General features: G+C 42.4%; 1 protein-coding gene and 1 long non-coding RNA gene across 14 annotated transcripts in view, besides 1 other annotated feature; one reads left to right on the forward strand and one right to left on the reverse strand.

Moving 5' to 3' along the window:
* The window catches only part of NCALD (neurocalcin delta), a 438,366-nt gene that overhangs the window by 297,766 nt on the left and 127,003 nt on the right, over window positions 1-13,597 (reverse strand). The window lies entirely within an intron of this gene.
* Window positions 125-10,543, forward strand: LOC104054148 (uncharacterized). The gene is made up of 5 exons (NR_126152.1): window positions 125-1,069; window positions 2,894-3,632; window positions 7,728-7,898; window positions 9,876-10,361; window positions 10,421-10,543. It is a non-coding gene; the product is annotated as an uncharacterized LOC104054148 (long non-coding RNA).
* Window positions 260-449: an enhancer, noted in NCBI's record as "active region_27740". NCBI's record gives its function as "activates an Ori minimal core promoter by ATAC-STARR-seq in GM12878 lymphoblastoid cells {active_cell/tissue: GM12878}" and the evidence as "EXISTENCE:reporter gene assay evidence [ECO:0000049][PMID:35858748]".

Here is a 13,597-nt window from a genome sequence, read left to right on the forward strand (position 1 = left end):
ACTTCTTCCAACATAGGGTTTCATTACATAGTCTTGATAAATACCAGTATAACAATATATATCATTGTGACATCAGATAGCATCACTTATAGAATAAATGGCCTGAGCTTTGAAGAATAAGGGCAAAAACCTGCTCTACAGGACAACTGACTAATAAATGTTGAAGCTCTGAAGCAAAAAGCATTTGCTTAACCCAGTTTAATTATTTCTAAATGACTCAAAAACAACTCTCAGAAACTTAGGAGGCCAATAAGCACTGAAACACGTTCTTTCCATCAGCAGAGAGGGCTTAGAGGACTCTCCAAACAACATCCTCTCTCACCCTACATTTGAAACTGAAGACAAGCCAAGAGCTACCAAATGTAACCTTAGCCACGCAGAACCCATTTGAAGCAAGCGGAGTACAGCAACATTCTCTTGATTAAGTTTCCTTTTGAGCAAGATCAAGGGAGTGGTGAAAACCCAGCACTTGACTTTTAAGTCACAGAGAATGGTATTTAATGATTGATTCTGTGCTTCTCCAAGACAACTCTACCCAGGGGGTACCCACCATCACCTCAGTTCACATCACTGTGACTCAACTTCCCATCTCTGCTGAGAACTTAGGCACCCCACACACTTTGGGAGCTGGAATACCTCCCATGGACACCAGCCCTTTAAGTAGCCTGTGACAGAGGACACCAGAGTCAGGGACATGGATTTTAAAGAACTATGTAGCTTAAGGGCCTACCCTTATCCCTTAATCAAAGGGTGAAAATTTTCAAAGCACAACCCAAGTTACTCACATAAAGCATATTACAACCCCTGATGTTCACCTTTGGAACTCCGCCGCCATGCTGCGTGGAAGCCAACAAGCCATGGAGGGGTGCACGTGGACAGAAGACAGGGCTCCCCTCACCCCGGGTCTTCTGATGACCCACCCCCAGCCCAAGCTCCCAGCTGCCAGTCATGTGAGTGAGCCGTCTTGAAGGTGGACCCCCCAGCCTCCACTCGACCCACCCCAGCTGATGGTATGCAGAACAGACCTGAGCCCTCCCACCTGGACCAGCTCAGATTAGAGATTTGTGAGGTATGGAAGTGATTGTTGTGTTAAGCCCCTAGACTCAAGGGTGATTTGTAATGCAGCCATAGACAGCCCAAACTTTCCTGGTAATTCCAATATGAAACCTGTTAAATATGTCCTCAGCCAGTGAGAGGATGGAGAAATGAGAGATGAGGCAGATTCTATAGCTTTTATATTTTTAAAAACTGTGAAAGGCTAAATATAACAAAGAAAAGCAGTTGTGGTCTTTCACAGTTTGACATTTTACTCTGTTTTAAGGGCTAGAAAAATTAAAGGAAGAAAGAGGATGAACATTAATGTTGCTGGGACCAGAAAACCAGCGGGCATTCCAAGCCCTGTCCCTTCACGTTAGGATCCCTCAAACATTTCGTTTTTCTTCCCAAGCTGCTTATATTGGCTGGAAAGACTATTTATACTCAACATTTCTTCCCAAAAGGATCTTCAGATCAAATTTTTAAAATACGCATTTAATAACATTCAAGGAGTAAGGGTTGGAACTTGGAAGCCTTAGGGACTCTTTCCTCTCAAAACTATCTTGCACACTCCCGCCACACAAAATTCCTCAAATTGCCATTGGTATATCACTCGCTTGTTCAAAAATAAATGATCATTCCTTTTTGTTTACTGAACTCAATCCAGTTTTCTTTCTTTCTTTTTTCCTTTCCTTTTCTTTTTTCTATTTTTTTGAGACAGAGTATCACTCTGTCGCCCAGGCAGTGGCGCGATCTTGGCTCACTGCAACCTCCGCCTCCCAGGTTCAAGCGATTCTCCTGCCTCAGCCTCCTGAGTAGCTGGGATTACAGGCAGGTGCCACCATGCCTGGCTAATTTTTGTATTTTTAGTAGAGATGGGGTTTCACCATGTTGGCCAGGCTGGTCTCGAATTCCTGAGCTCAGGTAATCTGCCTGCCTCAGCCTCCCAAAGTGCTGGGATTACAGGCGTGAGCCACCGCGCCCAGCCCACAACATTCTGATATTCTTTATCCATCTTTTATGGTACTATGGCTTCGCCTTGAACTGGTTCTGAACATGCCTTGGCTATTCCCACCTATAAGCTCTGATTCACGTCAAGCCATAGACTCTTACCTGTGTCTTTTGTTCAGTCAGCCATCTTGCAAAGTCATGTTCAAACCTGATCTCAATTTTAAAAAGGAGAAAATCCCTGCCCACCGCAGCTGCCAGCAATCCCGCTCTCCATTTAAACTCGTACAGCACTCAACACTTGCAGCTGTCATCTGACTCTATGCAGCTTTGCCCATTCTCCAGCATCAAGGGCAGGGCCATCTCTCTTGCATCTTTGCACTCCTCCTCACCCAACTCCACACACACCCAGAGCCCAACTCAGTATCTTTAATAGCTTATATACTGAATTAATGCTTATTAGATTAGTTAATAGAACTAAATAATTATAGCAAATGGCTAACAAGGATTCTTCCAGGAATATTTTTGTCTCACCCAGTGCTTAATCTTAAGGAAAGAATTGCTAATTAGGTAATTTTGAGCTTGAGCCAGCCAGCTGGGGTTGATAAGAATGTGAGGGGAGCGAAGACTCTCCAGCAGGGAGGTGCTGCTGATGCCCTGCTAGATATGCTGGGGGTCCCCGGAATCACACCTGCATAGGACAGATGGGATCTTAAAGGCCACCTACACAGAGGGTTTATCTTAAATTTATTATGTATGAAGAAAGGTATAGACAGTATTTAGTGCAAACCTTCATGTCACAGATGAAGACAGTAAAACTCAGAGGATAAGTGATAAGCCCCCCAAATCAGCAGAAATGGCCTCAACCTCAGATCTCCTCACTCCTATTCCAACATTCTTTCCACTACAGAAAACGGGGCGACTATTGCCTTTTCTCAACATGCACTCCTCTTTGAAGGGCAGACTAGCAGCAGTGTTTCAAAGTGCACGTTTGATTAATGTTTTTAAAGCCAATTTTTCCTGTGAAGAGTGACCTAAATTGCCAGACATTTTCTTCTTGAACAAAATCAAAAACTTCCTACTTTTGTCCTCTGACTGAGAAAGGTGTGTCCATGTATGTAATATCCAACCATTTTTTCCGAAGGAGAAGGGATATCTGATTTGAGCACTGCATCGTGCACGTCTCTGGGCGGAAAACAATGAACTGGGCCACCTAATTGGCATATCCAAAAGAAAAATATAAGTGATAAAAGCCAATGCATGAAAAACAAATCCAAGACAGAGGCAGGATGTGTACATTTACTTGAGAAATTGTTAAAAGCAACTTAAATTACAAACTCCTTTCCTTCAGAGCCTCAGCACCACCCCTGTCAGTATACTGCACATCCATTTTACTAGATGGATATTCCAGAGTCCAAGATGTATTACATCTTTCCACCGACCTTGTCAAAACACGCCTTTTCCATCACGAGAAGTAATAAAGTAACAGCATAACCTAGATCAACAAGATCTGACACACAGACTGACACAGTAGCACAAACTCACCTGGAAAAGGAATTTTTAATTAAAAGAAGCAACTCATGGCCGGGCGCGGTGGCTCATGCCTGTAATCCCAGCACTTTCGGAGGCCGAGGCGGGCGGATCACGAGGTCAGGAGATCGAGACCATCTTGGCTAACACGGTGAAACCCCGTCTCTACTAAAAACACAAAAAAATTAGCCGGGCGTAGTGGCGGGCGCCTGTAGTCCCAGCTACTCGGGAGGCTGAGGCAGGAGAATGGCGGGAATCCGGGAGGCGGAGCTTGCGGTGAGCCGAGATCGCGCCACTGCGGTCCGGCCTGGGCGAAACAGCGAGACTCCGTCTCAAAAAAAAAAAAAGAAAAAAAAAAAGAAAAGAAAAGAAAAAAAAAAGTAACTCCTAAGAAATGGGTACTCCATAGTGTTTTCAAGTTCTTGCTCTACATTTTGACAACATATGGAAAATCTGAAAAGTGTTATATACGTAATATACAACAGATTAACATATGCATGTATGCGTGCATGTATGTGTGTGTATGTATTTACACAGGCTGAAGCAGTAGAGTAGGGCAGTTAAGAACCCAGACTTTAGAGCCAGATCACCTAGTGAATATCCCAGCTCTGTCACTTACTGTATGACATCGAGAAACTTACTTGAAACATTATCTAGTTCAGTTTCTTCAACTAAAACATGGAGTTGATCATATTAGTTAATTCAAAAGGTTGTTATGAAGACTCAGTGACAATACACGTCAAGTGCTTAGAACAGTGCCTGGCCTGACTAAACATATAAGTGCTGTTGTTATTATTGCTGTTGTCGTTATCTGTGGTAGGGACAAAATTATTAATATGTGACTATCCATGGTCTTCCCCTATCCTTGTCTGCTTCTAATGAAGGTATATTCTTGCTTACCAAGTCAGCTTCAGGGTTTTTCCCTTGTTATATGAAGTCTGAGTCTGAGAGAGAAAATCCCCTAGAGGACATTTAGACTCTATTTCCCCAGAGAGGTTCTGTACAGCAAGAAGAGCCCTGTGGGTTGCATGGGCCTTGGGGAAGATGGCTGGATAAATGAGCTAGACAGCAGGTGCCAGCAGAAAAAAAAAAAAAAAAAAAAAACAGAGAAGCCAGTGAGAGGTGAGATAGCAATGGAAAGAGAGATGGAGAGGCGTCTAGCAAGTGCAGCCTGAGTCAGGATTGAAAAGGAGAGGACTGGAGTTTTAAGAATGTCCATTAGATTTCTTTGAGAGAAACAATAAAGATCAAAATTAAATATTTCTAATTAATTTTGAATTTGGTGCTCTACTGGGACTGAACCTCGTGGGAACCTGGCTTTTGTGTGGGCTGTGTGGCAAGTGATAAAGAGGGAGCAATGTGAAGTATACAGTTTCAGATTTATAACAAGTACAGGTGATCACAAAGCAGTGAATGTCAGTGAGCAGAGCACACAGTTTTCAAAAGGAGCTAAAATAGGCCCTGGATGTATTCACTACAGCCCTTTGAAAAATATTCTGGCAATGTGTATCCAGAGCCACAAAATTGTTTCTCACCCTTAATGCACTACTAATTCATCCTAAAGGAATAAAGAAACTTTATACATAAAAAGATGCTCATGGCAACATTACTTATTATAGTTTAAAAAAATTGGAAATAACCAACCAACCAAATTAGAGAAGATTGATTTAATAGGATGCTATGACTTTGTTTAAAATTATAATGTGGCAACTTGGAAAACAATTTTGTGATATAACATTCAATTATAAAAACCCAGAACACTGACTCTAATCCTGGAGCTGTCCATATGCAGTTTAAAGGAGACAGGAAATATCATGTTCTTAGATTGACGGACTATAGCCCTGTTTGCTGATGTTGTTCTGCTGACTCACTTGCTTCTCCTGGCTTTCAAAACTCCTTTAGTTTCCTTGGAATAAGTGACTTATGGACTAACCCTCATCTGATTAGAGCTGTGGTATCTGTAAGTGCCCACCTCACTTTAAAGAGATCTGGTCCTAGGCCCTCTCGTTCTCCTGGTTATAGTACAGAAATGATAAGAAAAAGAATTTGCATTCATTTTCAGGTTTTGAAGCTTTTACAATTTCAGATTCTCTGACAATTGGGTTTAGGGGGTTAACACAGCCTTTCACATCACATTTCTTTAAATAAAAGTCCCAGCATGCCTGGGTCAGTAAGTAGGATGCTTAGATAGTGCTTTTATTGAGAGCCTGCATGATCTTGCCACATCCCCTGGTAGAATTCGTCCTGGTTTTTTATTTAAGAAACTTGCTGAAAAAAGGAGAAACATAACATCTTAACACCATTCATTCATTCACTCATTCATTCCACAAGGAATCACCAATTATATGCCAGACACTGTTTTTGCTACTAATTATGTCACAGTCTCAACCTGTAAAAAGTGCACAGAACAGGTAATTCTTACAAAACGTGATGATAGCCTTGAGAGAGAAATTATGGGCAAGACCTAGGAGGTACAATGAACCCAGCTTTGAGGAAGCCAGGGAGGGAGATAGCATTCCACTGAAGTCCTGATTAATTCAAAGCAATCAGGTGGGAAAATGAAGAAATAGGCTCAATTCAGGTTCTGTATTCATGTTTCTAAGCCACTGATATGGTTTGGCCAGTGTCCCCACCCAAATCTCATCTTGAATTGTAGCTCCCACAATTCTCATGTGTTGTCGGGGGGACCCGGTAGGAGGTAATTGAATCATGGGGGTGTGTCTTTCCCTTGCTGTTCTCTGGATAGTGAATAAGTTTCATGACATCTGATGGTTTTATAAAGGGGAGTTTCCTGCACAAGTTTTCTTCTCTTGTCTGCCTCCAGGTGAGAGGTGTCTTTCACCTTCTGCCACGATTGTGAGGCCTCCATGCCACATGGAACTGTGAGTCCATTAAAGCTACTTCTTTTGTAAATTGCCCAGTCTAAGGTATATCTTTATCAGCAGCATAAAAATGGACTAATACAACCACATTCTCTCAGGCTCCCACAGCATTAGGGCAAGCAATATTCTCCTAAATATAGCCCCCTGCCAACCACCTATCTATTAGTAGATATCATAAAAGTAACTTGCAGAACAAAAATCCCCTGAGCACACAGCAGACGAACTAAAACCTGAATGCCCACTGTGGCTAGGCCCTTGTACTAACTGGTAATCTTGCCATTTTGATTTGCTTTGTCCCAGACAAAAATATTCTGCTCCATCTTAGCTAGGCTCTAATTTGGTTCTGTGAATGGCAGTTGCAGAAAGTAATTTATTTGGGTCTTAAGCAGAAACGAAGGCATACTTTGTTAGGGTGTAGAGGGCATGGTGACTCATTTTTTGACTGCATTGTATCGACAACATCCTATTTTTATATAAAAAATTCATCTCCTCCAATTCTGATGGTGCCCTGAGTCACCTCAGTGTGGCAATCAGAGAAACTATACAGCCTTGTCATAATTGCTATCAATCATCAGGTGCCCCTAACCTCTCATGGAAACGCCACCAATGCTACCTGTTCCTATGAGGCTGCTACCCTTAGAGCAGCAAGCAGGATGAGAATTTGAGGGAAAAGGAGTCATTATTGATCTGTCTCTATTGTAATCTCACTATCACAGAGACTTTAACCTTAAAATGAAAAACTTTCTTATTTTGGCCTCCTGAATGAAATTTGGGGAGGAAGAAAACTAATTTTGAAGGATTCAGAAGGTTACAAAAAGTTACCTGAGACATAAATAGTACCAATTCATGTGTCTGAGTTCTCCTCCCAGGCAAGTAAAAGGCAAGAAAGTTCGGGAAGGGCTGGGGGTCAGAGGTTTCTGGTGCCAATAGAGGAAGGCAATACAAGACCCTGAAAAGAGAGAGCAATACAGCTCAGCGAACCATCCTGTGCAAAAGGGGCTGGCTAGGTCAAGGAAGGACTCAGGTTGACAGTAGTAGAAAATAGAAGAATGGAACAAATCTGTTGGTGCTTTTCCTAGATCGTCTGTGGCCAAGGCAGGTGCCATGGAGGACCCAGAACCATTTCAGAAAACCACTGACCACCACGCAGAGCAAAAAATGGTCTTTTGAAGAGGATGGTCCTCTTGAAAATCCCTCAGAAAGGTGTCTCACTGGGGACTTGCCATGTCACTTGTCAACAATTCCAGCACAGCTAGTTTTTTCTTCTGATATTGGAGCAAACCCCTGCTTCTCTGGTTGAGCAGCAGCTAAAGTATCTGGCTTCATTTATAGGCTATGTTGTATGAAAAGTGCATTACTACACTCCATGTGGCAAGATGCCTGCATTATGAAAGTCGCATGGGAACTGACGCCATCTGAGCAAAGAACATGGGCTGCTGACATATCCTTCCCTGAAGCCAGATGGATGGGTGGATAGATGTGCTGGTACTACTCAAATGTCCGGTGGGCTTGTTTTCATTCTCTCTCTCCCCAGCCCCCATTTCCTCTTTCCTTTCTTCTGCCCTAATCACATATAGTTGAACTTGATAAGTAACAGTATATAACCTTTTCCCAAGGTCAAGTGAATTTATGAATTTCTATTATTAAACTGTAATTATATGTATTATTTAAGGCTAAAAATATAAATGCTTCTAAGAAATATTAAAATACACAAAGACAAGCCATGCATTATGGGTTAATAAAGAAAATCAAACTATTGAGGAGATCTTTCCTCCATTTTGTGTCTGACAGGAAAGAGGTCAACTGTGCTGGTCCACACCACAATAATATGAATGGCTCACACCCCAGCTTTGCCACTTACCAGCTGGCTAAACTTGAGCAAAGCCATTAACATCTCTCTGTCCCAATTATAAACGGGAATAATAATGGGTTGTTGTAAGGCTGAAAGAGCGAACACATGTGAAGCACTCACAGCAGTTTCTGGAATGGGGTCATTGCATTGCACAACTCCAGAGTCACATTCACATCGTTGTCCATGTGAAAGGCACCCCTGGGAGCTGTGCAGTGTTCAGCCCATGCCCAGGCCTGGCACACAACAGGTGCTCACTCAACATTTACTATTCTTATCCTTTACTGAGCTCTTACTATGTGCTGAGCAATGTGCTGAGTGATTTTCCAGGATTTTTTTTTACTTAATCTTTCGAACAACCCTATAAAGTAGAAACTCTTATTTCCATCTTCAAAATAAAAAAAGTAAGGCACAAAAAGTTTAAATAGCTCGTCCAAGATAAGCCGAGGAACCAGGATTCAGAAACTGGTGGTCTCATGCTTATTAGCCATACTAGATACCACGGATGGCAGGGGCATGCAAAGGGTCAAAGGGACAAGCCCTACTTAGAGTAAGTTAACAAACTAAAATAATTAATCCACAAGCTCACTCTACAGGAAAAAAAAAAAAAGATGGTAACAAACCATTCCTTCTATTTCCAGAATGTGTAGCCCTGGGCTCATTACCTACTGCCGCCACTTTTTCCCTGGTGCTACATAAATTTAGAATGCCGTACCCCAAATTACAAATATCATCAGTTTTCCAGAGTCATCAAAGACCTTGCTGTGCCCACAGCGCCTAACAAGGGCACCTGTCATTAGTTAAATAAGTAAACTACTAGGTTGGTAACAGAAGGGTCAACACAAATACATCTGCTAATTGGCTGTTGAACCAATGTCCCAGCAAAGGGAAGAGGAGCTCCACTGCCCACAGTAGGACCTGGAGTTTCAGTCTTTGGCTTTTGGACTAACTCTTGCTGTCTAAGGAGTAACACTGGGTGGGAAACTATTTTACACCAGGAAGTCCCAAGGATGGGAAGCAGGGGCAGGTCTGGCACAGAATGGGGAAGGGTAGGTGAAGCTCCAACAAGTTCCCTCCTCTTGGTCCTCCTACTACTGCCTCTCCCTACTACTCCAGGCTGCTCCTGCCTCTCCTGCTACTGACTCTCCATTGTGTTTGGGACATACTGCACTTTCACAAGCTAAAAGGACATAGACTTCTTGAAGCAATGTGGCAGAACAAACTCTGAAATCAAACCAGGTTGAAATCTTGACTTTACCACCTATCACTGTGCGACGTGCTAAACTCCTTGGAGTCCTCTGAGCCTCAGTTTCTTCATCTATACAACTGAGATATGAATAGCATCTTCCTTATAGAATTGATGTGAAGATTAAATGCAAGTCACCTCCCAGCACTGCATAAATAAAAGCTGCTCTTCCAGACTCTGGACTGATGAAAAGTAGTGACATTTTCTTTCTCTAACTTATGAGGAGGTAGACATTAAAATAAGTGTTATGTTCACCAAAGCAATTGCCATAAGAATATCTTTAGGCAGCATTTTTTCCTGAAGCTTCTTTTACTTAACACATTTCTAGAACTTCTTCTCTGGAACTGCCTTCAGTATGTATAACTTTGGTGATCTCTCTCCTTAGGGGATGAATTGAGACAAGAGTGACCATTCAGAGCCAAGGGAGGTATTGGGAAGAGAAGCATCCTGTTGGTCAAATGCAAGGGGCGACTGTGAAGTCCCAATCTGGTTCCAACACTATTACTCTAGTGATAGTGTCTCCAGCTCTATCACTGCCACCCACAGCTCTCTGATTCTACACACTCAAGCCTCACCCCACCCCTGGCCCAGCAGAGTTTTTCCCTGTTCCCAGGGCTCCTTGAGGGCTACTGTTCCTGAATGAAGTGTCACAGCCTTCTCTTCCTGATCCATCCAGAGATATCCTATTTATCTAGTAAACCCCAGCCCACAGGTCAACCCTTCTGTGAAGCTTCTCCTGTCTGTGAGCCACACTAGCACAGTGGTTAAAGACACAGACATGAAAGTCCAATGACAAGGGCTGAGGAGAAGCAGCAGGGCAAGGTTGCCATGTGCATGGCCCGGAGAGCCACATGGCTGGGGTCTGAATCCTGCCTCTACTACATGGTCATGAGCCTTGTGCCTTTAGACCAGTTCCTTCATATCCCCAAGGCTCATTACTCTCAATGATGAAATAGAATAGAGTAGTAGCTACTTCAGAGGTCTACTTTGGAGCTTATATAAAGCACCTAGAACAATACCCAGCAAGTATTTGTTTAATAAAGTCCTAAAACCATCTCTTAGCTGGGTGACCTTGAGTGGCCCATCTAACTTTTTTTGCATCTCACTTTTTTGTCTTTAAAATTTGAAAGAAAAATAACAGCTACTTTGTAGGATTGCTGAGGATCAAACAATGTATGGCACTTGAGCAGTGCCTAATTGTGTAGAGCCTTGTATATGGTAGGATTTCAACAAAGTTATAGTTTTTTTAAAAAGTTTGCTTCTTCTGAACTCAGTAACAGCTTATTTATTATCTCTATTATGGTACACATCAAATTATATTACAATAGCCCAGACTGGGGACTTCTTGAGAACAGGAACTCTGTCATTATCCTTCTGATGAAGGGAAAGCCAATTCAGCTGGCAACTAAGATGCGAGAAGGATCTGAAAATTCAAACCAAAACCATAACTTGCAAAATTAGATTATTATTCACAACATTGAAAACCTGTATAAGCCATGACATGCAAAACAAACTAAACCCGGACTCTATACCTGCTCATTCAGACACATATTTTATTCAGCCATTCTTGCACTGATATAAAGAAATACCTGAGCCTGGGTAATTTATAAGAAAAGAGATTTAATTGGCTCACGGTTCTGCAGGCTGTATAGGAAGCACAGTGGCATATGCTTCTGGGGAGGCCTCAGGAAGCTTCCAGTCATGGTGGAAGGCAAAGGGGTAGCAGGCACATCACATGGCGAAAACAGGAGCAAGAGAAAGGGGAGGTGCCACACACTTTTATACAACCAGATCTCCTGCGAACTCAGAGCAAGAGCTCACTCATCACCAAGAGGATGGCCAAAGCCATTCATGAGGGATTCACCCCCATGATCCAAACACCTCCCACCAGGCCCCACCTTCAACACTGGGGCTTACATTTCCCAAACATGAGATTTGGGTGGAGACATATATCCAAACTATATCACATATGTTCTAAATAAGGCCACAGACAAACTGATCTACCTATAACACCACAGAGTCACGTGTCCTCAAGATAAGAGCACCAATTGTTCCAGCAACTTCCTGGTTTATGAATTCCGAGCAATCTCTTCTAAGAGCATCCTATAACTAACTTCTGCCCTGCAAACTCTATAGATATTCTTCCCAAGCTTCCACCTGTTGAAATGCCCCACACCTCTCCACAGTGTGACTCTCTCTTACTGCAGCAGCAAGGTAATAAAGCTAAGTTTGTTTGCCTCTGGTGTGTTCCTGGCAGTCTGTTCTGTGGGCTTTCACACATTTTGGCATACCAAGGGCTTGGCATGGTGCCTGGTACTAAGCAGGCATTCAGTAAATTGTCTTGAACAAAAGGATGGAGTAACAAGACTCTTTTCATAACTCAGGAGACCTGAAGAGAATTCTAAATAGACAGTTTCAAAAATATTAGGAGCCACATCTAACAGCCTTGAGAGGACTACGTATATAAGTTTCCAGGCTGTATGCCTTAATGAGCTATCATCAACTGAAGCTATGTAATCAAGAATGCTGATGAAAAGCCAGTCTTGTTGCTGGGCACTTCTACACATCAAGTATAATTCCTGACCTACAGGAAATTATAAACTAACCAAGGACACAAGGTGAAGAAGCAAGTGGACATGATCTGGGTTCCTACAGCACCGAGCATTGGATCTTGCCCATAGCTGTTGCTCACAACAATATCTTCTTTGGTTACTGACAGGGGTTTTACTCTGCAGGTAACAACTGGCTGAGAGTTTTTAAGCAGAGGCAGATCCTGATAAATATGACCTAGGTCTAGGAAGCCTACTGTGGCAAGAGGAGGCAGACTTGTTGGAGGTCATCTTGACAAGTCAGGGCAGAAAGAAGGTCCTTGCCTATGAAACTAACGGTGGAAAAGGAAGGATGTATCTTTCAGAGCTAGAAGAGACAACCATGGCAACTAACGGTCCTCCAGGGACTATGGCAGGCAGCAGAGTTAAAGATGCATCAATGTTACAACCACGGTGATTTGGAAAATAATCCTGACACAGACAAGAATAGCTGCAAAGGACAGAGATTATCTTTACATCAGTGCTAATCCCCATTATCACGGGCTTCAGGTTCTTAACTTAGGTTAAAGCACAAGCTAGCATGGCGTTGCATTAACTACTACCTGCCTGCTCGAACACTTTGCACAGGTCAGATCAATAAGAGCAAGATAGGCCTTGGTATCTACTTAGAGTCAGTAACTATGAGCAGCTTATGGATTCCAGCTACTCAGAGTCATGACATTCCTTTCACAAGCCATGATAGACAGATTTGGCTTTTTAAGCTTTGCTCAAAATTTCCATTAAGCTCATTTAAGCTCTGAGAGTCAAAGACTCTCAAACTTTATTTAAGCCAATCAGCCACTAGAAAGAATAGCTTTTGACCACTTTTTGACGTTTTAACTTAACATTTTGTGATATAAAGAGAGCAGGCAATATGGCTGAGGACAAAGCCAGGCCGGACATTGTTCCAGGCTAGGGAACAAAGGAAACACAGTGTAAACTAATGAACAATGTAAATACATAAATAATATTTTTAAAGAGCATGCTTTTATTTTTTTTTTCCTGGAACCTTTTAGATGAAGGTAGCTTTGCCCAAGAACCCATCACCAATAGGGGAAGAAAAGGTTGGGTTAAATAAGACAAAAACATCACTGCAGATAGGAGGCTGAGAAGCTTTCACTGTATCATGTTTAAAGACTTGATGCAAAGTACTTCAGAGAGGTAGTCCACCGGAAAAGGAAAATCAAACACAAATTTCTTTTCCCAAGAATGTAATCTTCTCGGCATGGCGTTTTGTTGCTCACTAAAAACTCCCTGCTAAAGAAAACATTTTCAGGTCGCTCCACTGAATCTGCTGCAACTGGTCTATTTTCAGCTCTATTTCTCTGAGCCTCGCAGCAGAAGTTCTTAAATGATCCTGGGACCAGGTTTGGTTAAAGTTGCCAAGAGCATTTAAGATCGTGTTGTTTTGCTTTTGTTTTCCAATAATCTACAGCTGGGGGTATGAGAGGCTACAGTGGATGTTTTTCCCAGAAACATGCCTTTCTACCACTGGGTCATCTGAGTCTATTTTCATTAA

The sequence above is a fragment of the Homo sapiens genome, chromosome 8 (genome assembly GCF_000001405.40).
Source record: "Homo sapiens chromosome 8, GRCh38.p14 Primary Assembly".
Taxonomy (NCBI): domain Eukaryota; kingdom Metazoa; phylum Chordata; class Mammalia; order Primates; family Hominidae; genus Homo; species Homo sapiens.